Consider the following 25,467-nt stretch of genomic DNA (forward strand, 5'->3'; position numbering starts at 1 on the left):
TTGCTGGTGGATCAGGATTCCAGTTATATCGGGGGCTTTGTGCTGGCAACTCAAGAGTAACTTTGACCTTTCCTCATGGTCACAAGATGGTTGCAACTTCTCTAAACATTCATTCACTCTCACAAGGGTAGTAATACAGCCAGGAGTTCCCCCTGAATACCTCCTTCTTATCAGAAGTGAAAAATGTCTTTCCAGAAACTCGTAGAAGACTTCCACATATATCTCATTGGCCAGAACTGTAACCTATGCTTACCCTTAAGCCGGGTCCTGAGGCAGCCTTCCTAGGGATCAAGAGATCTGATAAAAAGAAGCATGTCATGGCTGATTCTTGGACAGGCAACAGGTTTATTTTTATATTACCTACTAGCTCTTTTCTTAGCAAACTGTACATCTCTATCTCAGCCCTAACAAGTCACCTCCCCTTTGTTTGTCTTAGTAGCCAAACTGCAAGATGATTCCCAATGATCCCATACCTCTTGGTATTCATGCCCATATATATTTGCCTTCAATGATGTGTTCAAATTAGTCTGTGTTGCTGACATAGTGCAACATAAATGGTGGCACATTACTCCCAGTGCTAAGTCATAAGGACATTGTGGCATATGATTTACTCTTCTTGGAGTGCCCACTTTTGGGGAAGCCAGCCACCATGTTGGATATTTAGGTTGCCACATGTAGCAAGAAACTGAGGCCCCATACCGATAGCCAGCAAATAACTGATACTTCCTTCCAGCAGCCATTGGTCAATTATCTTGAAAGTAAATTTTCCAGTCACAGTCAAGCCTTCAGTTGACTGCAGTTCTAGCTAAGAGCTTGACTGAAACATCATGAGACATGCTGAGCCAAAATCACCCAATTAACCTACTCTTAAATTTCTGACCCATATACACGGTGAGATAATTAATGTTTATTGTTTTAAGCCCCTAAGTTTTGGGGCTATTTGTTATGCAGCAATAGGTAGCTAATATACTATCTGACTGTCCAGTAGGTTTTAAGTTTTTTTGAAAGAAAAAGCAAAAAAAAAAAGGCTTGTAATGGTGGCTCATGCCTGTAATCCCAGCATTTTGGGAGGCCAAAGCAGGAGGATTGCTTGAACTCAGGAGTCTGAGCAACATGACAAAATCCCATTGCTACAAAAAATAAAAAAATTAGCCAGGTGTAGTGGCATGCACCTGTAATACCAGTTACTCAGGAGGCTGAGGTAGAAGGATTGCTTAACCCAAGGAGGTTGAGAAGGCTGCAGTGAGCCATAATCACGCCACTGTACTCCAGCCTAGGTGACAGGGTAAGAATCTGTCTCAAACAAACAAACAAAACAGCAAAACAAGACCAAAGTAATGAGCTTCAGTTACACACTAGTAAGAATGACAGAAAAGCATTTCTTTGTTTTTAATTCATTATACATAGAGATAATTATATAATTCATTATAAAGAAGAAGTGTTGTGTGGTTTCAATGATCATTTTTATTTTAATAGAGTAATGAGTGACTTGGGGCAGGAGCCAGCATGTAAAAGTGATAATATCACTTCTTTGTTTAAAATTGTTAACTTGCTTCCTGTTGGAGTTAGTAATATTTTACACTTACAATTAATTAATTACTTAATGGTCAAATGAATGTTCATTAATTAGTTTACGTGCACATGGATGCATGCTGTGGATATAGCAGGAGAAGAGATTTTCACCAGACTTTGAATGATAAATAGGCACTAAAGTGCAAGTATTAGCTAAGAAGCAAAGGTGGAAAGGACAAGCTGCCCTTCACTGTTGCTTGGTGTTCTCTTTGTCTAGAGTGCTTTTCTGGATCATTGCTTAGCTGCCATTTTGTGGTGTCACTCAGAAGTCACCTCAGAGAAGTGATCCTTGACCATTGCATTTAAGTTCCTTGCTCCCAGAATTTTCCAAACAAACTTGTTTATTTCCTGTATAGCACATCTTACAATCTGCAATTATCTTACTTAGTTGTTAGCTTTTTTTTTTTTTTTGTCTTCTCTGATTAGAGTGTAAGCTCTTCCAAGACAAGCACCATTCTCTCTTATTTGTCATTCTTTCCCCAGTGCTTGGTAACAGCAGAAGCTCAGTAAACAGTTTTTAATGAATGAGTAAAAAATGACCCAGTCTTGATAACTAACTAACTGAATAATGACTCTGATGTTGGCTAACCATAGAAGCAGAGTTAGCCAGATTAGGAGAAAATTTATACTTATGAGCTAGACCAGAGCAAACAAAATAAGGAAATGAGAGCCTACATCATTGGGAATGTTTCACTGGGCTCTAATTGAGATGCTTCTTCATTGAGTGATCCCTCCTAAGGAAAATGAGACCAGGAATTTAGGCACCTACTATTTATCAGGTGTAGTGCTAGTACTTCACCTGCATTATCTGATTTTATCCTTATAAGAACCGTAGGAAGATACTTTGAATGCATTTGGATGTATCTGGTGTAACTTCCCCACTTAGATCTGAGACGGTTGGACTCTAACTTTTCTCCAAAGACCAGGAGACTATTGACTAGTAACATTTTTGGCTACAAGTTGCAGTATATCTGAATAACTAGCTTAACTAGATGGTTGTTTAGTTTTCTCTAGGTAGGTGGTTGCAAGCAGAGTCAGAGTCTCGAAGGTACTTGGGTGGTAATTTTTATGGGTCTCGTGGTCTTAAGATGGCTACTGTAGGACAAGTCATCACATCTGCATTCAAGTCAGGAAGGAAGGGATGAGGGCAGCACTCTGCCTTCCAGCCTTGAACATCTATCCTGTTTTCATTAGGAAGTAAAAGCTTTTCCCCAAGCCACCTCCTTGGCAGACTCTACTTAGATGTCATTGGAACTGGAACACATGACCATGTAAAACTGCAAGGGAAGCTGCAGAAATGAGAAACAGGATTGATGTGACTGTTTTACCCTTCCAGGTTGACAATGGTGATAAGAGAAATCTATTTGGGACTATAGTTCAGGCAAAGAGAAGAACCAATGTTCAGGTAACAGTTAAACTGTGTTGCAAAAAATCCAGAAACATAAAAACCAAAAACACCCTTTAATTTTCCTTATAGCTCAGTCAAATTATGTATGTGACTGCAAACAGATTTAAAGTGCTCAAATATTTGAAACTTTTCAAAGTGAGCCATATCTATTTTCCTGTGTTGACAATTAATACAACATATAAAATAGGAGATATCAAATAGGAGAGGCTGGTCCCTTTCTTTTCTCCTGGCCTGCTCAGTCTCCCATTTTATTGTATATTCCTCACTAGCAAATATATTAAAAGAAAGATAGCAACAAACACAAACACCATTATCTCTTTGCCCCTTCAATTACTATTCTTGTGCTTTAGTCTTTTAAAAACTTGCCAGTCTTGCTAGACATCCAGAGAACTCTCAGATCTACTGTGTTCGTGTTAACTTTAGTTGGTAAAAGAAGAGGTGGAGGAAAAGAGGTAGCCTGGAAGAGGAGAGAAAAGGAGAGAGGAAAGAAATAAAGAAAGGAAGAGGGAAAGAGAAGGAGAGAGGAAGGGGATGGGGGGATAAAAGTTGGAGCAGGTTTTGAAAAGACCAAGATATAAAAGGGGAAGAGGAAGGAAGAACGGAAGAAACGACTGAGAAAGGCAAAAGAGTGAGAAGGAAGGATGGTACCGTGCAGTTACTCAGTGTGAACCCTGCGCTTTCAAATTCTTTATTGTATTTAATCTGCACAGCAATCCTGCAGGGTAGATATCATTCTTCCCACAATACAGTTGAGGAAAGCAAGCCTCGTGAAGCTCACGCAGTGATTTATTTGGATGATTCAAGAATGGGATCCAGTAACAGCAGAAGCTTTAAAGTTGGTGTGCCTGCCTCCAAATCCCAGGAGAAAGGACACAAGAGACACCAGAAGGTCTGATGAAAACGAATTGAAGGCTGGGAGGAGTCAGGCCAGGAAAGAAAGAATAGGGAGGGATGAGACAGAATAGCCCAAGGTCTGATCCAAGGGACATCTGGTGCTCTTTTGTCTTCATTAAAGCTGTGGTGATTCTTTAATGACTGTGCATACTATTCATCAGATTGATTAATTAGGTTTGAGTGTACTTCTTACAAATCCCAGGAAGGTTGCCAATAAATAGAGTTCATGGCATAGAACCCAGAAGGAGGTCATCTAAGACAGAGCAGAGTTCTTTGGCTTGGTGAGGCTGATGGATCCAAGGCAGGATTTGGTCATGAGTTCTCCATGTGCCCAGAGCCTAAGTTCCCAACTAAACTTATCTAAGAGTTTCCATGGTAAGATGACTTGGAGTGAAGTGATGGCCCTGAATGGGGGTTCCAACATAGGAAGCCCCTTTTCTCCAGGCCCTCAAATTGACAAAGGACCACAAATTTACCATTTGACATTATATCTCCATGAGGTTGTCTAAAAAAATATTCTGTTGATGTGATCTGGTAAAATACAGGAAGTGCCCAGATGAAAACTTGAAGAATGGTGGTGAACTGCTTGGGAGAGATTCCAGGAGAGAATTGCAAATGCCATTTAAGAAATGAAAGGATGCAGCACCCTTGATGGTACAGATAGAAGATGATATTTTCTGGAAAATATGGATACCGATGTTGAGAAGTTATTCTAAAGAGGATCACTTCAAAAGTTTCAGGACTGTATCTCCCAATTTCTCTTACATTTTCCTTTTTACATGTATCCAAGTGTAATATATGATAAAATCTTTATTTGGTTATACCTAAAAAGCTTTTAAAATATGTAGAAAGTTAAAATTCAAAGTGATAAAACATTGCTTCATAGTTTAGTAGAATTTTCAATTTTTTAGTAATGTATAAAATAGTGATGTCGTATTCTAAGAAATACAGTATGTTGTGGTTATAACTAAGCCTTAATTTATGGAAGGAAGAAATGTGGAGACTCATACCCTTTAATTTGATAGGTGAGGTAACAGAGAAGATAAAAGAGTTTCCCACAATCATGACACCAGCTAGAGGCAAAGTTAACACTGGAACCCAGGTCTACTCATTGCAGGACGGGTAAATTGATGTGAGTGGGGTGAACACAGTCGAGGAGTGAGATCTGGCTTTGAATCCTGACTTTTCCCCTTGACAGCTCTGTGACCTTGGCCATGTCACTTAACTTCCCTCCGCTTCAATGTCTTCATCTACAAACCAGGAATAATAGTATATATCACAAAATGTATCTAAGATACAAATGAGACACTGTGAAGTCCTTGGCACAGGTAAGCATTCATTCTCTAGTGGATCAGAGTGCTACTATGAAGCTGCTAACAGTTTCTTTTTAGGCATTATTTTTTTGGGGAAAGGCTAACTTTTTCCTTCCTTCCTTCTTTCCTCTTTCCCTCCTTCCTTCCTTCCCTCCCTCTCTCCCTTTTTTCTTTCTTCTCCCCATTCTATCCCTCCATCTGTTCCTTTCTCTGTATGTTATTCAGAAAAAATACTTTATACAGACTTGTTTCTTCAAAGGTAAAGCAAACTCCTACCTATACTAGAATGGGGGAGTTTAGGGGGGCAAGATGGATTTGTGTAACAATGTCAAGCTGAATCTTTGCAAGAATATTCCGGTCTGGCTGGAGAAGGATACTAGTACTAGTAAATATGGTATCTGTGTGTGCATGTGTGTATAAGAGAGAGAAGAGAAGAGAAGAGAAGAGAAGAGAAGAGAAGAGAAGAGAAGAGAAGAGAAGAGAAAGAGAGAGAGAGAGGGACAGAGAATTAAGTAGAATTATGCATGCATCTAGATGTCTAATGTGTATAAGGTGTTGCTACTATTATTATTATGGCCCTGTTGCTATTAATTATCAGAGGTACAGAAAATGAAATTCAGAAATATTAAGTGACTTGTCCAATATCACTAACTATCTACTGGTGGGTCCTAGATTTTACTTTAGATAAAGGTGAAGAAGCTGCTACACAGAAATGGCCCTTAATGCTAACTCTAATATAATATAACTGCCAAGAGAGCAGAGCACCAGCCAAATCATCTCTATCCTGAACACCTGGTAGATGGCACTGATGACTATAGGACTTTAAGCTCAGGTGACATTTTGGAATGAATTGTTGCATATTGTGTGTATTCCTGCTCACTTGTTTGTGTGTGTGTATGTATGCACACATGTGCAGACTTTTCTTCTCCATCACAGTTAGCTCTTGGAATGTATTTGTTCTCATGAAAATTCTAGCTAACTGGGCAACTGAGCACTTTATGGGAAATCAGAAAATGAGCCTTCGAGAATTGTTTAGCCAGATCTTTAAACAAGAGAAAAAGACTGACAAAGTTGGGGCAAGCTGCAAATTAAAACTAGAACACCACACAAGCTCTGGCACTTCATTCATTAGCGTCCAAAGCGTTTGTTCACTGTCACCAATTAGTCACTAAAAGACTGAATGAGTCCTGTATACACCACAGCTTACTATCACCTTAGAAAGCATTTAAGCCAAATATCCAGATAAAAACTGCGGTTGGTTAAGTGTTTTAAAGTGCACAGAGTTCTTCAGTATTCTTTTTGTTCTTTATTCATTCATTTATTCACCACTCATTTCACTATTCAAACATAACAAAGAAACCAATTAGAACTATGACTACCACTAAAGTACTTTCTGAAGAAGGAGACTCCTGAACATTGGGGGGCTCTTGTTCTACTGGGTACTTTGCCCATTTGAATGTTTAAGTTTAAGGGTTAGAGAATTGAAGGAGTTCTGTATAAATTTGTGGCTCGAGGAATTTTGGAGGTCAGAGTAAAGACTAAAATAATTGGGGACTAAAATGGTTTCTAGGCAAGTGAGCCCTTGGTCCTTGGTCTTCATTAGATTTCCCCAAACACACAAAATATTCAATATGGGTAAACTTAAAGAAATTTGTTAAAGTTGGAGTTTAATTTTTGCATCTAAATCTGTTACATATAATAGAGATGATACATGTGGATCCTATGGCTGAGGGTCAGAGGGACTACAGGTGTATAAGCCTCTGGGAATTAATTGAGAGTGAGGGAGATGTGCTATTTATTATATCTGTTCACAAACATTATTTTGTTCTGGAAACATGGTAAGATTTAGCTTCTCCCTTCTCTGAAATTTGGCGTGGCCCTGTTTCTTTGAAGGGCAATGAAATATGAACAGAAGCATCATGTGTCACCTCCTGGAGAAGCTGTGTGAGCCTGTGTGCAGCGGTCCATCTTCCCTTGCCACTGTGGCACTGTCTGAGGAATCAGGCATCAAAAAGGAGCCTCTGTCTTCTTCAGTCCCTGAGAACAACAAAGAGCAGATTCCCCCTCAAACCTTGGTTAAACAGGTTACATGAGTAAGAAATAATTCTTATTTGTATCAAGCCATTGAGATTTGTTATTATGAAATGGCCCATCTTACCTTGACTAACTCTGGAAATTTGAACCTCACAGTGGGTGTCAGTTATGTCCACATCTTCAGCATCGAGGGACTCCAGTTGACATGAGGGTTGCTCAATAAACATTCTTGGACCCCTGCTTGTTCCAGGTTATGTTGGAGTCTGGCGTGAAAATATGGCATTGTGTCTGTTCTCAAGGGGTGTATAATAGACAGGGTGAGACAAACCATAGTGGCTATACACTGAGCATGCTGTCCCTGGTGCTTAGTGTGTCGTTGGACTACAGGCAAAGGGCATAGTCACCACACTGGAAATATCAGGGAAGTTCCCATCGAGAAGTATTGCTTGAGCTAGTTGATACTCAAGTGAAAGTGAGATAAGGCAAGAAGAAGGTAGAGGGTATTTCAATTAAAGGGAACACCAGTGAGAGGCACAGACTCACTGCACTTCACTACAGCTGCTCAACAAGGATACAACATGTCTTTGCACTCCCTCGAGCGAGTCGAGATTTTCCTCTCATTTCTTAGGCTATGCCCTTGATGCATTTACTGAACCATACATGCCTTTCAAGTACCCATGCTGTATGTAAAGCCTATGGTGGTAAATAAAACAAACAATAGTCTCACTTTCATGGAGCTTATATTCTAAAGGAGAAAGATGGGGGGAAACATATAAAGTAAAGAGGAAAATCTTGACTCATTTGAGGGACTGCAAAGATGTATTGTATTTGTGTCAAGCAGCTGAAGTGACGTTAGAGAGGTAGCCATGCCTCCTGGGTGGCTGTGTTAGGGACTTTGAATTTCATTTGGCATATCATGGGATGGCACTGAAAGACTTTTGTTGTGTGGAATCCTCACAGCCATCCTGTGAAGCAAGTATTATTCCCTAATATACAGGAATACACGGAGGTTCAAAGAGGGCAAATGAAATGTGTTGACTCCACACAAGTACTAAGCAGTCAGTAGAGACTGGAATATCGTCCTCTAACTTTTCAATTTCTCATCTCTTTTTTTCTCTTTCTTGGGACACTATGGCCATGATGACCTATATTCCTCCTGCCACTCTTCAAGGTCTCCTATTAGGACTTTAGTGCTTGCCCTTGCCTGTGACTTTTCACGGGGTTCCAAGATCTTCCACAGACTGCCTTTATTTTGTCATGTGATCTCCCTAAAATGACCTCTCTGGAAGCACCCTAGCTGAAGTGCCTCCTCACCCCAATTCTCCCCGTTATCCTTGTTTCCAGTTATATATTTTTCTTCATAAAGCTTATTGCCTTCTGAAAGTTTTCTTTGTCACATATTTAGATGTTTTCCCCCTGTCTTTCTCCTTTAGAATATAAGCTCCATGAAAGCTAGACGGTTGTTTGTTTTTATTGACCTCCATAGACTTTGCACCCAGAGTAGGTACTTGAAAGGAATGAATGGTCTGATAAGTGGGTCAAGGGCATAGCCTAAGAAAACAGCCTTATACATGATGCCAAAGGTTAGGGTGAAGCTGGTATGAACCAAGAAAGATATCTGCGGATGATTTTATCTGTATTGGGGCCTTTTCAATTCCTATATGTCACACAGCTTTAGTATTGAAAAGTTCAAGCTAAGAAGTTCCCTTTCAAAAACAAAAGCAAAACAAGCAAGGAAAATAAATCCACCAAAACAATCATGGAAGGTTATGTGTTCAGCAAAGATCCTTCTTTGAATCTATCAGATATCTACTGAGCACTGAATACACACCAAACAACCCTGAGGATGCAAAGATAAATAATGCCATCTCTCTCTCTGCTCATGTTACCTAAAGCTTGTACCATTTTATGCCATTATTTAATTTTCTTGAGTTTCAATGATAATCCAAATAACATTTTATATTGGGGAAAATGTACAGTTTCTGAGAAAAATATTCCAAATCAATTGAGTGACTTGTGGAAATAAATCAAACATAACATTCTAGAATTTTAAAGTTATGCAGCCTCATATATAATTTCAGCTCATTTGTTTGGTTTATAAATGAAAAACTGGATCACAGATCTTAAGTGACATGCCTAAAGCCATGTGTAAGATTGAGAAATTTAGTTTTTTCTGTTTTAGAGGTTTTCCTAGGCAGAAAATTAAGAATTTAAACAAGAAAGAAATTGGAGGAGATGTCTTCCAGGCAAAGAAATATATAATCGTTTTTAAGAGACTGATGACATTTGTAATGAATCATGATTTCCACTTGATAATTGCTCTACCAAACAAAAGCCACCAGTTGAATTATGTTGAACTCTTTATCATCTGACAAGAGCTGTGGAATATGAATGAGCTTTATGTCTACTAATCTGCTTCTGAGGTGTTACTTGGATGCAGTTGTACCTTAATTATTTCAACCTGCATATCTAATGTTCTGTTGACTCATGTTCACCTTTAAATTTAAAAGCTCAGATTTGTCCTTGATAAGTAAAATTTCCACACTACTTGGACAAGGGTTCAGGAGACAGAGCTGTATTCCACTGCATCACGGACAAGACCACTTGAAACACCAGGGCATATTGATTTGAATCTGATTACAATCCCTTCAGAATGCCAGCACACCTGCTGTGCTAATACTAAATTTGCAAGTATCTTATGAACATAGACTCTTGCCTTTCTCTTCACTGAGGCTGAAGAATGTTCCTCTAAGCCAGCATTTTCCAGACAGTGGTTGGAAGTGGGTGGCGAGGATGCCTTTGTGTTTTTATCCTGAGAAGATGATATTGATGAATCCCATTGTCTGTTGACTTCACCGACTCATAGGAGTTTTTAGGTGAAGAGTGGGGACTGATGGCTGAGGTCAAGTGAGGCCACTGCACGCAACGACCAGAATAAGCAATATCTGGCTATTCTTATTAGACTGTGAATTGTGAAACTTAGCTAGGGGAGCCTCAGTCATGAAGCACTATTCTGCCCTTTGTGGACCACATGTCTGCAGAGTGTAGGAAGTTTATGTTCCAGATGCCCTGGGAGCATGGCCTGTAGCCTAGGTTGTGGGAGTGGTGGAAAATCTGGAAGGCAGCTTCTTCAAGGACTAGAAGCCACAACTTCAGGGGCCAGCCCAGAGGCTCAGTCTTCACAATACTGGATCCTTCTGTTCTATCTGTGGTTGCTATGCTCTTCTAGTGATAGTTCTTTTATCTTCTTTCTGTCCAAACTAGCTGTAGAGGATAATCACTTTAGCAACTCACATGTTTTCAGATGAGAATTTCTTCATTGTTTTGAAATATTTTTTATAAAAATGGTTGATTGCATTTGAAATCTATTTACATTATGGCAAGAAATGTACTTATTACTTTCATCAACTAAAGGAGAAAAAGATCTTCTGGATTCTGTAAATTTAATTTCAGCTATTGCAAATATTGAAGGGTTTTAAAAATAGATTTACATTTTATTATCACCTACCTGAACAAAGGCAGTTTTCAGTTGTGGTAACCATTAAAAACTTTGAAAAGGGCTTCATCTAAAAATATCAATTAGAAATTGTATGTGGCCAATTCAAGCATAAAATCCAGTATAAAATAGAAGTTATCATAGAAGTAAGTTCAAGTTACCTATTACAATTTTGATGGCATTTTATTTGGATGTTTTATAGAAGTTTAATATTTAATATCCTCTGCATTACTTTGTATTTTGTCTGTTCTTATCATCATTATGTTTTATAAAGATTTCTTGAATTACTGGTATAATATGGAATAATAGTATGATATTTTATATTGTCATAAAAATCTTTTAGTATACTGTTTTGCACTATACTAAATAATACTTTTACAATTCCCTATTGTAATTTTAATAATTCTTGTTATAAGTGATTTATAGTTTGTTTTAACTGAAAACTCTCACTTATACAATAATCTGGTGATTGTTTTCTGTCTTTGTGAAGATGAGGATGAGTAAGCAGTGAGGTTGAGTCTTGCCTGCATTCATGCAAAATGTAACTGGTCACTCTCTTTTGCTTTCTGCTCTTGTGCTTTGCAGATCTGTGCAAAGCTTCTCAAGAATAGAGGACACTCCATCCAAACCAGAAAATTAAGATGTTGGTTATAATAAATATGATTTCCATTGTTATCATAATTATTTTAAGAAAATGAATAATCTCAGAAATCCATACAAGTACTCATTGTAAAATGTTATTAAACATTACAACAGAGGGAATGAGAAGATAATCCTTCTATGGGTAGAGGATGTTTTGCTTTGTGGAATACCTGGCTGATAGGAAAAAGTGCTTCATTGTCTCAGGAGAGAGTAGAAAAAGGTACATGATCCAGGAAACTATAAAGTAATGCACTCAGGAGAAAAATAATACCAGCGTATGCATAACTCACAGTTTTTAAGCCATATAAGGCTGGAGTAAAATTAAGGTTATTATAATAGCCTGCTATAACCATTCTCCAGTTTTGTCCCATTACTATTGTGAGACATTTTGCCATAGTCAGCCTCAAATCTGTCTGCATTTATTTTCAACTCCATCATCTCTTCTTCAGTACAAGCTAAGCTAGCTTCTTCATTGGTCTCCTTGCATTCTTCTGGTAGCTTCCTGTTGCTTTTATGGAAGCAATTCCATAAATTTGCCTGTATGGACTCCATGGCCTCCTTTGAGCCATCCTCTGTCTAGCTCTCCATCTTCACCTGGCCCTGAGCAACATCTTCAACATCTTTCTTTCTTTTCTTTTTGTTTTTTTTTTTGATGGAGTCTTGCTCTGTCACCCAGGCTACAGTGCAGTGCTGTGATCTTGGCTCACTGCAAGCTCTGTTTCATGGGTTCAAGCAATTCTCCAGCCTCAGCCTTTCAAGTAGCTGGGACTACAGGCATTCGCCACCGCGTCTGGCTAATTTTTGTATTTTTAGTAGACACAGGGTTTTGCCATGTTGGCCAGGCTGGTCTCGAACTCCTGAACTCAGGTGATCTGCCCATCTCGGCCTCCCAAAGTGCTGGGATTACAAGCGTGAGCCACCACACCCAGCCAGCAACTTCTTTCATCACATCTTCTAAGCACGTTCTCCACATAACCAATGGGCCTCTGCCCACCGCTGCTCGTACGTCTGTATTTTCCTCCTCCATTCTCTTGACCTCCATAACCCCTTTTTATCCTTAATATTTCTACTTCATTCTTATACACTTAGTGAATCTTTCCCTGACACCCTTATTTGGCGAATAGCTCCTGTCACAGGATTTGAAAAGACGACATAAACTTTGACATAAACTTATGAAGAACTTTTTTCTTGGTTGTGCTTTTCAAATTTATGATTTTTCATTTACTTGGTGATTGTTTGATTAATGTCTGCTTTCTTCATCAAACCATTTACACTCTATGAAAAAGGACTATGTCATTTTTTTGCTCACCACTGTGATCCCAGGACCCAATATGGAGTCTGATCCAGTGTAAGTGCTTAGTACACATCAGGTGCTATTTGTTATTAATCATTACGTAGTGAACCTAGCTGATGCACTTCTGATGAGCTGCTTAGCATTGGTCACTTGCTCTTTTCCCAAATTTGGTTCCTGCCATTTCTGCAGCAGCAAACCTGGCTAAGGCCCCCATCATCTGTGTCCTGCCACTGCCTCTTCTGGGGACAAGAGTCAGGCTTCAGCAGTGGCCTCCATGGAGCCCCCAGTGCTGAGAACTGTGGCAGCAGCAGACCTTGTCTGACCCCAGCAGACCCACAAGGCTCCAGCTTCCCAAGAGGCTGTCTGTAGGGTTCAGGCAACATAGCCAAGGACTATGGAGGAGTTCACATCCTATGGGGTGAACTTGGACCAGTGAGACACAGAGACGCCAAAGAGCTGGCGGAGAAATTGCTCATTCTTCCCTCTGAGGCAGTGAAACACACTAGTTCCATTCCAGTTTTCCAGGGACATGTCCCATGACCAATATATTTTTGTCTGAAACTTGGAACAGTTTAGTCTTGCCAAGCTTGTGTTTTTCCTTCTTCCTTCTCTGTCTTCCCTTTGGTTCCTTTCTCTTGTGGCCAGGCATTGTATTCAGACATTAAGATTTGCCTCAGTCTATTTTCCAGGAAACTCAGGCTTAGATAATTTTCCTTATTGTTTTAAATATTATCATATTCTTCCCTAGGGACATCAACCTAAGCATTCAGAAAACATTGGACCTCATTCATGAATTTATTAGCTAAAGATTTATTGAAGCAATACTAGGAGACAGATTTTGTTCCAGGCCTCTTAGTTAGCAAAATACAGAGAAAGTTATTCCTAAACTTCAGCAGGTCACTTTTAAGGTGAGGTAAGAGGAAGTGGACCTGTAAACCAGCAATGTGAGGATTATTGTATGTGTTCAATAAATAAGTAACCAGTAACTTTTTCAGGAGGGTTTTCCCATGGGATGTTCACATGTAAGATGAATCCTAAAGGAGGAGGTGGGCTTTTTCCAAAGCCTAAGGTGGGTCAGAGAGAAGGAGCGTAGGGAGACTCTCCAGGTAGAGGGAGGAACAGACATGTATGTATGAAAGAGAGGAAGATCATGGCACATCCAGGGTAACTGCAAGAGTTTCCTTGGAAATGAAGTTGGGGAGGACTTTGGGCTCAAAGCCACAAAGAAACATCACCTTTATATTGTGGTCTGGGAATTACATTTCTGAGAAACACTGTCAAGAAGGTCCAGAATAAAATGAAGAAAATGACGGAGGGGGCCCGGTGTAAATAAGCTTTGTTTATTTATTCCCTGCTTCAATTTTTTAGAAGGATTTCAGGCACTCTGAACTGCCTGCATTCTGAAACAGGAAGATTGAGAGTTGATATAATCATAAAACATGGCATTTTAGATCAGGCAGGACATGCAGAGAGGCTGCTGTTTCCAGAAACTCTGAGAGTTAAGTGGTAGATACAGCATAGTTGATACCCAAATTAGGTCTGTTTTTGATACCTCCTTCTTCTGCAGGGCACAAGCATTTTCAATAATAATTGTGTAATGGAATGAATATATTTTATGAATAAACTAAAATTCTTACTTCGCAAATGAAAATATTTCATTTTGGATTTCACACTGCGTGATTGTTTGACATTTTATTTTATTTATTTATTTATTTTTTAAATTATTTTATTTTATTTTATTTTATTTTATTTTATTATTATTATACTTTAAGTTTTAGGGTACATGTGCACAATGTGCAGGTTAGTTACATATGTATACATGTGCCATGCTGGTGCGCTGCACCCACTAACTCGTCATCTAGCATTAGGTATATCTCCCAACGCTATCCCTCCCCCCTCCCCCCACCCCACAACAGTCCCCAGAGTGTGATGTTCCCCTTCCTGTGTCCATGTGATCTCACTGTTCAGTTCCCACCTATGAGTGAGAATATGCAGTGTTTGGTTTTTTGTTCTTGCGATAGTTTACTGAGAATGATGATTTCCAATTTCATCCATGTCCCTACAAAGGACATGAACTCATCATTTTTTATGGCTGCATAGTATTCCATGATGTATATGTGCCACATTTTCTTAATCCAGTCTATCATTGTTGGACATTTGGGTTGGTTCCAAGTCTTTGCTATTGTGAATAATGCCACAATAAACATACGTGTGCATGTCTTTATAGCAGCATGATTTATAGTCCTTTGAGTATATACCCAGTAATGGGATTGCTGGGTCAAATGGTATTTCTAGTTCTAGATCCCTGAGGAATCGCCACACTGACTTCCACAATGGTTGAACTAGTTTACAGTCCCACCAACAGTGTAGAAGTGTTCCTATTTCTACACATCCTCTCCATCACCTGTTGTTTCCTGACTTTTTAATGATTGCCATTCTAACTGGTGTGAGATGGTATCTCATTGTGGTTTTGATTTGCATTTCTCTGATGGCCAGTGATGATGAGCATTTTTTCATGTATTTTTTGGCTGCATAAATGTCTTCTTTTGAGAAGTGTCTGTTCATGTCCTTCGCCCACTTTTTGATGGGATTGTTTGTTTTTTTCTTGTAAATTTGTTGGAGTTCATTGTAGATTCTGGAAATTAGCCCTTTGTCAGATGAGTAGGTTGCGAAAATTTTCTCCCATTTTGTAGGTTGCCTGTTCACTCTGATGGTAGTTTCTTTTGCTGTGCAGAAGCTCTTTAGTTTAATTAGATCCCATTTGTCAATTTTGGCTTTTGTTGCCATTGCTTTTGGTATTTTAGACATGAAGTCCTTGCCCATGCCTATGTCCTGAGTGGTAATGCCTAGGTGTTCTTCTAGGGTTTATATGGTTTTAGGTCTAACGTTTAAGTCTTTAATCCATCTTGAATTGATTTTTGTATAAGGTGTAAGGAAGGGATCCAGTTTCAGCTTTCTACATATGGCTAGCCAGTTTTCCCAGCACCATTTATTAAATAGGGAATCCTTTCCCCATTGCTTGTTTTTGTCAGGTTTGTCAAAGATCAGAGAGTTGTAGATATGTGGCGTTATTTCTGAGGGCTCTGTTCTGTTCCATTGATCTATATCTCTGTTTTGGTACCAGTACCATGCTGTTTTGGTTACTGTAGCCTTGTAGTATAGTTTGAAGTCAGGTAGTGTGATGCCTCCAGCTTTGTTCTTTTGGCTTAGGATTGACTTGGCAATGCGGGCTCTTTTTTGGTTCCATATGAACTTTAAAGTAGTTTTTTCCAATTCTGTGAAGAAAGGCATTGGTAGCTTGATGGGGATGGCATTGAATCTGTAAATTACCTTGGGCAGTATGGCCATTTTCACGATACTGATTCTTCCTACGCATGAGCATGGAATGTTCTTCCATTTGTTTGTATCCTCTTTTATTTCATTGAGCAGTGGTTTGTAGTTCTCCTTGAAGAGGTCCTTCACATGCCTTGTAAGTTGGATTCCTAGGTATTTTATTCTCTTTCAAGCAATTGTGAATGGAAGTTCACTCATGATTTGGCTCTCTGTTTGTCTGTTGTTGGTGTAGAAGAATGCTTGTGAATTTGTACATTGATTTTGTATCCTGAGACTTTGCTGAAGTTGCTTATCAGCTTAAGGAGATTTTGGGCTGAGACGATGGGGTTTTCTAGATATACAATCATGTCATCTGCAAACAGGGACAATTTGACTTCCTCTTTTCCTAATTGAATACCCTTTATTTCCTTCTCCTGCCTAATTGCCCTGGCCAGAACTTCCAACACTATGTTGAAGAGGAGTGGTGAGAGAGGGCATCCCTGTCTTGTGCCAGTTTTCAAAGGGAATGCTTCCAGTTTTTGCCCATTCAGTATGATATTGACTGTGGGTTTGTCATAGATAGCTCTTATTATTTTGAAATACGTCCCATCAATACCTAATTTATTGAGAGTTTTTAGCATGAAGAGTTGTTGAATTTTGTCAAAGGCCTTTTCTGCATCTATTGAGATAATCATGTGGTTTTTGTCTTTGGCTCTGTTTATATGCTGGATTACATTTATTGATTTGCATATATTGAACCAGCCTTGCATCCCAGGGATGAAACCCACTTGATCATGGTGGATAAGCTTTTTGATGTGCTGCTGGATTCGTTTTGCCAGTATTTTATTGAGGATTTTTGCATCAATGTTCATCAAGGATATTGGTCTAAAATTCTCTTTTTTGGTTGTGTCTCTGCCTGGCTTTGGTATCAGAATGATGCTGGCCTCATAAAATGAGTTAGGGAGGATTCCCTCTTTTTCTATTGAAAGGAATAGTTTCAGAAGGAATGGTACCAGTTCCTCCTTGTAGCTCTGGTAGAGTTCGGCTGTGAATTCATCTGGTCCTGGACTCTTTTTGGTTGGTAAACTATTGATTATTGCCACAATTTCAGATCCTGTTATTGGTCTATTCAGACATTCAACTTCTTCCTCGTTTAGTCTTGGGAGAGTGCATGTGTCGAGGAATTTATCCATTTCTTCTAGATTTTCTAGTTTATTTGCATAGAGGTGTTTGTAGTATTCTCTGATAGTAGTTTGTATTTCTGTGGGATTGGTGGTGATATCCCCTTTATCATTTTTTATTGCAGCTATTTGATTCTTCTCTCTTTTTTTCTTTATTAGTCTTGCTAGCAGTCTATTTTGTTGATCCTTTCAAAAAACCAGCTCCTGGATTCATTAATTTTTTGAAGGGTTTTTTATGTCTCTATTTCCTTCAGTTCTGCTCTGGACTAAATGCTCCAATTAAAAGACACAGACTGGCAAATTGGATAAAGGGTCAAGACCCATCAGTGTGCTGTATTCAGGAAACCCATCTCATGTGCAGAGACACACATAGGCTCAAAATAAAAGGATGGAGGAAGATCTACCAAGCAAATGGAGAACAAAAAAAGGCAGGGGTTGCAATCCTAGTCTCTGATAAAACAGACTTAAAACCAACAAAGATCAAAAGAGACAAAGAAGGCCATTACATAATGGTAAAGGGATCAATTCAACAGGAAGAGCTAACTATCCTAAATATATATGCACCCAATACAGGAGCACCCAGATTCATAAAGCAAGTCCTGAGTGACCTACAAAGAGACTTAGACTCCCACACATTAATAATGGGAGACTTTAACACCCCACTGTCAACATTAGACAGATCAACGAGACAGAAAGTCAACAAGGATACCCAGGAATTGAACTCAGCTCTGCACCAAGCGGACCTAATAGACATCTACAGAACTCTCCACCCCAAATCAACAGAATACACATTTTTTTCGGCACCACACCACACCTATTCCAAAATTGACCACATACTTGGAAGTAAAGCTCTCCTCAGCAAATGTAAAAGAACAGAAATTATAACAAACTATCTCTCAGACCACAGTGCAATCAAACTAGAACTCAGGATTAAGAATCTCACTCAAAACCGCTCAACTACATGGAAACTGAACAACCTGCTCCTGAATGACTACTGGGTACATAACGAAATGAAGGCAGAAATAAAGATGTTCTTTGAAACCAATGAGAACAAAGACACAACATACCAGAATCTCTGGGACGCATTCAAAGCAGTGTGTAGAGGGAAATTTATAGCACTAAATGCCCACAAGAGAAAGCAGGAAAGATCAAAAATTGACACCCTAACCTCACAATTAAAATAACTAGAAAGCAAGAGCAAACACATTCAAAAGCTAGCAGAAGGCAAGAAATAACTAAAATCAGATTGTTTGACATTTTAAACAGAAATAAACATTCCCCATTGCCACATAGAAGGATAGAATGGAAGCAACTCAGACACTTTTTCTTTATCTTTGCCATCACTCTACTCTCATTGTTTATTTTTCAACTGTTGGTTAAATATAAAAACATGTACTACCACAGAGGTTGGAGATACAAACTACACCTGTACCTGAATGGAGTCTAAATGATTCCTAATTGTTACAAACTTACTCTCTAAACCAATGTGTGCAGCTGGTCCTGCCTGTGTTAGGGCCTACTCTAGAATTGAGAGTCCTCTGAATTAACTTTATCTTTTATTAGTGGGCAATAAGCATGTGCCTATTTGAAACTTATACACGCATCAATAAAAGTCAACATTAATAGCAGCAATTGTTTGACCAACAAATAATTTGGAGAAACATGTATTTTTCTCCCTGAAATCACTTAGAATTGCCAGTGCTTGGTGACAATAAACAGACTGATGTTTAGCAAGGTGTATTATTGTTTTCAAGTTCTTTAAGACAATGCACTTCCTTATTGCCCACACCCAGAACAGACTGCCTCCTGGTTCCACCCTTGGTGCCACTAGAACTTATGCACATGGATTCTGGAGCTAAACAAACTGGTCCAAATTCTGCTTCCTCCATTTCCTGGTGGTAAGATCTTCAGAAGGTTGATAAACCTCTTAATGCCCTGGTTTCTTCATTGAAAAATACACCTATAGTAGTAACTGCCTTATAAATTGTAATGATGTTTGCATAAGTTAGTATGTAAAGTGCTTAGATAAGTGCCTAAAGCATAATAACATTAATATACATTAGCTAATTAGATAATCTGGTTGAAGAAGGTAAAGTGAGGTCCGGTGGGGAGAACTAAGCTGATAGCAGAGACGGGACTGAAACCTAAATCTGCCCTATTTTAATTCAGTTCTCTGATCTCTGAACAATATTGATTAACGTGATTATGGTGACAAAATGAACAACTTCTCAAGAGGACCTGAAGACTCAGAACTTTAAAAGATGAGAAAAGTTTTTTGGAAATTGGTTTATGCAACTGACACATACTAGTTTTGCAATGTTGAACCAAGTACCTAAGCCTCTCTGACTCGGTTTGACATGAAGTGTTACTGTATGGAAAATGAAATAATACATCTACAGCACCACTAACTGTCTGCACCTGTTTGCTTCTCAAAAATCTATTATTTTATTACTATTATTGTTATACGTGGATGCTGCCCAGTAGAAATATAACATGAGCTACAAATGCAAGCCACATATGCAATCTTAAATTTCTGGTGACTACGTTATAAAAAGTAAAAAGAAACAGGTGAAATGAATTTTAGTAACATTTTTACTCAATTTATCCAAATAGTACCAATGTTCTCTAACATAAAAATTAATAATGAGATATTTTACTTTTTTTCTTGAAAACAGTATGTATTGAAATCCAGTGTATATTTTGCACTAGGACATATGTCAATTTGAACCAGCCGTACAGCAAATATCCAATAGGCAGAGATGACTAACGGCTATTATTTTAGATGGTTACAGGTATACAGTTACTCTAACAGGTGGCATGAACTGAGGCTATAAAAAGGTATCAAAGACTTCTGATGATGCCTTGTACCACATTTATATTTTGGATAGTCAAGTGAAATCAAGGATGTCTGAGGGAGTTCATGAACCTTCAAGTATTTGACCTAATATAAGGAAATAGACATATATCCTTATATTTGACATGTATCCTTACATCCTCACGTATAAGGATATATGCCATTTCAATGATGCAACAGTGATTTTTGTAAATGCCCACATAGAATTTAGTGGAAGAGAACAAAATTGAAAACACACTTTTTCCTGAAGAACAGATATTTTTCCTCCATTGGTCAGATTTTGAGACGTACATGTCTACTGAGGTTGATTGCATTGTCCTTTTTGCCTTGCCAACCAGGAAGCTCATACTAAGTTGGGCATTCTACTATAATGGTTATCATTAGCCAAAGTTTTTTCTACTTGCACTACTCTTGGCTCTTGGTTTTTGTCCTAATTAATTTGGCCTAATTAATGTTCTCATAGTCATTTATTGAAAATTATTTGAGGAGAATCAATATATATAAAAGAATAAGTAAATAAAACTTCCTTAAATGCATTCCTTAGTACCTGATTCACACAGAACACTGGGCTCAATGAATGACATCTTTATGTAAGACATGAATTAGAGTTTAATATTCATATAACAGTAATTAAACCTCAAACTATAGATTCAGAGACTGTCACAGCCTGGAAGGGTTGAGAGATTATCTCTTTTAATTAATATAGTCCTAGAGAAGTTTAGTAACTTTCGTAAAGACTTCAAGATCGCTAATGGCAGTCCTGGCTTTTAGAAGGCTTTCTTTCCAATATATTAGCTTCCTCTAAATCCATTTCAATAAGATTCCAATGAGCAAATCATCTCTTAATGGGTGGGCAGAGGCTGGGGCAATTTAAACCTTGACATTAGCTGGTATGTCAGACATAAAGTAATAATGTGTTATTTTTTATTTGCTAAGGGAAAACTATGCTTAACCTGACCAATCCATCATGTAAAGGAGTCTGCATTATCCATTCCTGATAATAGAACCATTATTCATGTGAGATGACACTGCACTGCAAGGTTAGACTATGAATATTAGTTTTTATCAACTACACTTGATAATATCACAGACATTCTAATTATTGAAATTACTGAATATAACTTGGCATTGGTTTAGGAGAGAAAACAGACATTCCCATCTACCAGTCGTAAATTGGCTCAAGCCTACTGAAGAGTAGTTTATGAATATAAAGCAAATCCTTAAAAATGTGCATAGCATTGTACCAAAGATATAGCTTCCAGGTACAGTATTTATCCTGTCAACTTAGAGCCTCTGCTTACATATTCATATTATAACATACATCCTTGTCACCATTTCCAATCCCTATCAGGACCTGGAAAGTGGGATAGGTCCAATTATGCCTATTTTACAGATTAACAAACCAAGAATTGGCAAATTCAAGTAACTACCTTGCAGTCACACAACTAAGAGCTTGGATTCAAACTCAAATCTGTCTCCAAATCGAGTACTTTGAAGACTATGGTGAGTGTTCTAGAGTTTTAAAAAATTTTCTAATATAGTTTATGTTAAGGTTTCCAGATAAAATACAGGACATTCACTTAAATTTGTTTCATATAAGCAATAAATAACTTTTAGTTTAACTATGTTTCCATCATTGCATGGATGTCCGTGCAATAATTGGTACACCCTTATATTAAAATTTCATTTTTGCTTATCTCAAATTTAAATTTAACCAGGTCTCCTGTACTTTTATTTGCTAAATCTGGCAGCCCCATTCTGTGGGTATCAAGGACCCAGGCCTGAAGATAATCAGAATAATGACAAGGAGAATGGAAAGTATAAAGCTGCTCAGCCACAGTCTTTTTTTTGTTTTAGATTTTAAAAAAAATTTTCCTCTTTATTTAAATATAAAACACATTTATAACATGCAAATTGACTTAACATTAAATGGCGTCTTCCCAGACCAAGTATTTGTGAATGTATCTTCAAGCACTGAAAATAAACCAACATATTCGACAGGTGGACTCAGACTCTTCTATCACCTCATGTCAAATGGAGTTAAACACAAATTGAGTAGAATTCTTAAAGGGAAAAACTGTCATCTTTTGGACATACAAAAAAGTTGTCTCATACATCAACTATTAAATTCCTTGGCTGATTAAAGGACAGATCTTGAAAAATAACATAACTATATTTTACTATCTGGGACAAGCCCTGTGGTAATTGCTATATAAATGAGAAAATAATGCTGTTCATATTTCTGACTACTTTAAATATGTTCATGACATTTTTTTACGTTATTTATTTTATAACCAAACTTCATGTTTTCACTCATTACTTTCTTTTTTTTTGTTACTTTTTTATTATTATTATACTTTAAGTTTTAGGGTACACGTGCACAACATGCAGGTTTGTTACCTATGTATACACATGACATGTTGGTGTGCTGCACCCATCAACTCGTCATTTAGCATTAGGTATATCTCCCAATGCTAACCCTCCCCACTCCCACCACCCCACAACAGTCCCCGGTGTGTGATGCTCGCCTTCCTGTGTCCATGCATTCTCATTGTTCAATTCCCACCTATGAGTGAGAACATGCGGTGTTTGGTTTTTTGTCCTTGTGATAGTTTGTTGAGAATGATGGTTTCCAGCTTCATTCATGTCCCTACAAAGGACATGAACTCATCATTTTTATGGCTGCATAGTATTCCATGGTGTATATATGCCACATTTTCTTAATCCAGTCTATCTTTGTTGGACATTTGGGTTGGTTACAAGTCTTTGCTATTGTGAATAGTGCCGCAATAAACATACATGTGCATGTGTCTTTATAGCAGCATGATTTACAATCCTTTGGGTGTATACCCAGTAATGGGATGGCTGGGTCAAATGGTATTTCTAGCTCTAGATCCCTGAGGAATCACCACACTGACTTCTACAATGGTTGAAGTAGTTTACAGTCCCACCAACAGTGTAAAAGTGTTCCTATTTCTCCACATCCTCTCCATCACCTGTTGTTTCCTGACTTTTTAATGATTGCCATTCTAACTGGTGTGAGATGGTATCTCATTGTGGTTTTGATTTGCATTTCTCTGATGGCCAGTGAGATAAGCATTTTTTCCATGTGTTTTTTGGCTGCATAAATGTCTTCTTTTGAGAAGTGTCTGTTCATATCCTTTGCCCACTTTTTGATGGGGTTGTTTTTTTTTTTCTTGTAAATTTGTTTGAGTTCATTGTAGATTCTGGCTATTAGCCCTTTGTCAGATGAATAGGTTGCAAAAATTTTCTCCCATTTTGTAGGTTGCCTGTTCACTCTGATGGTGGTTTCTTTTGTTGTGCAGAAGCTCTTTAGTTTAATTAGATCCCATTTTTCAATTTTGGCTTTTGTTGCCATTGCTTTTGGTGTTTTAGACATGAAGTCCTTGCTCATGCCTATGTCCTGAATGGTATTGCCTAGGTTTTCTTCTAGGGTTAGTGGCACAATGGATAATGCATCTGACTACAGATCAGCCACAGTCTTGACCCAAGAAAAGACATCAGGAGTTGTCTAAGGTTGCAGAGGTTGCAAGTAGCAGACTGCTTACCTAAGACAGAGCCTTCATCCAGAGAGACAGAGAATGCAATGACTATCTTATGTTGTGTAATCATGCAAAATAAATTCCAGTCTCCCCAGAGGGAAATATTTAAATTGTTTAAGAGTTAAACAGTGGTGTCAAATAGGAAAACAAGAAAATATATTCATTCTTACATAAAATATTTTGAGAAAAAAAAGCAGAGTCAAACACTTAGTGAAGAGAATGTATGTTTGTGATGGCGAGACAGTATGAATGACTCTATAGATCACAGTGAATTCATTGATTGGATATAAAATTGAAAAGGAGGGATGGAAGATAAAGGATAATGGAATGTAAATCAGTCATTATTATAATTGTTCGAAGAAATGAACAAACACTATATAGATGTAAAATCTGTCCAGGTTTCCTAGAAACACATCTGATATGTATTCAGGAGGTTTATTGGGAGTATTCCATGAGGAAGTGAGGAAAAGCAGGATTGGGCAGATAGAAAAGTTAAATTGGAATGCAGTTAACATGGATAACTCAGCCAAAAACATGTGGGGCTCTGAAGCTAGGATGCTCTTCAGGGTTGTCCCAACTGAGGCAAGGAGCCTGGGTTTTGTACCTTTGCATAGATGAGTCATTAGATGAGGGCTGCCCTGGAGTGGGGATGTAACCTTTGGGGTAGCTCATTCCTGTGGCTGGAGGCAATTCCCAGAGAGGAGCAAAGTGGTGATCCTCCATCAGGCACACTCTTGGCAGCTGGGAAGGTGAATGCCTCAGTCCTGAAGGGGATACGGGTGGCACATCACAGCATCCACCATAACCCACTTCTTGCTCTGTTCAAATGTGCTTGTTGCTTACGTTAAGTTTAGCCCATTGGAGACCAACTTCTCCAGGATCCTGGATTGTGTCTTTCTTGGGGAAACTTATAAGAAAAGGTTAGCAGGATAATGTATAACCCTTGCTTTTGTAGCTGGTCTTGGAGCTGTAACTGAATCACATTGTTTTCCTTATCAATCTAGTTTCCCTTCACCATTAGCTACTACCTATGCTGGTCTTAATCAGTGGCACAGACTCTCATCTCTGAGGAATCTGAGCCATTGGTCACTATGCTCTTCTCAGGCTGTGGCTTCAGTTCTTGACTAATTACCATCAAGATTAGGCAAAGATCACCAAGTAACAGTCTGTGGGCCACTTGAATATCAAACTCTTTCTTTTCTATGCCAGTTGTGAAACAGTGGAGGTCTGAAACAGGTAATGAGGGTCACCTACTTAAATCCTCTGAATGGGCCATCAGTTACCCCTGTCAGGATAGTGAGTCTTTCCTTGCTTTCTTCTGTCTTGGCAAAGGAAGTCTGAAGTGATCAGAGGGCAGCCATGGCCTAAAGTTCCATGGGTCTTTTACTATGTCTCCTGGTGAGGAATTTGACTGTGAAAATGGCTTGGACAAAATGGGTGACTGATGGGTAGGGTGGGCTCTTGTGGGTATGGCCAGCTCTCAGTTGTAGTGATCTGGGGGCAGGGACACTGTTTTTTTTTTTTTTTTTTTTTTTTTAGATGGAGTCTTGCTCTGTCGCCCAGGGTGGAGTGGTGGAGTGCAGTGGCTCGATCTTGGCTAACTGCAAGCTCTGCCTCCTGGGTTCACACCATTCTCCTGACTCAGCCTCCCAAGTAGCTGGGACTACAGGCACCTGCCACCATGCCTGGCTAATTTTTTATATTTTTAGTAGATATGGGGTTTCACCATGTTAGCCAGGATGGTCTCGATCTCCTGACCTCGTGATCCGCCTGCCTCGGCCTCCTGAGGACACTTCTATTCCATCCAAACCAGCCTATAGAATTTAGGGGGAAGCACATGACAACCTCACTGCTTTTCTTAGTAATTTATTTGTTTTGGATCAAGGGCATGCTTGGCAACTGAA

The 25,467-nt window shown here is 38.6% G+C and overlaps 1 long non-coding RNA gene across 3 annotated transcripts in view; it reads left to right on the forward strand.

Moving 5' to 3' along the window:
* The window catches only part of LOC105375760 (uncharacterized), a 257,327-nt gene that overhangs the window by 9,059 nt on the left and 222,801 nt on the right, over positions 1-25,467 (forward strand). For 2 of the 3 annotated variants that reach the window (XR_007061183.1, XR_007061182.1), the window contains exon 2: positions 5,073-5,202. The exons of the other annotated variant lie outside the window; for it this stretch is intronic. This is a non-coding gene — a long non-coding RNA (uncharacterized LOC105375760). The remainder of the gene's footprint in view (positions 1-5,072; positions 5,203-25,467) is intronic. 3 annotated transcript variants of the gene reach the window in all.

Source organism: Homo sapiens, chromosome 8 (assembly GCF_000001405.40).
Source record: "Homo sapiens chromosome 8, GRCh38.p14 Primary Assembly".
Classification (NCBI taxonomy): Eukaryota; Metazoa; Chordata; class Mammalia; order Primates; family Hominidae; genus Homo; species Homo sapiens.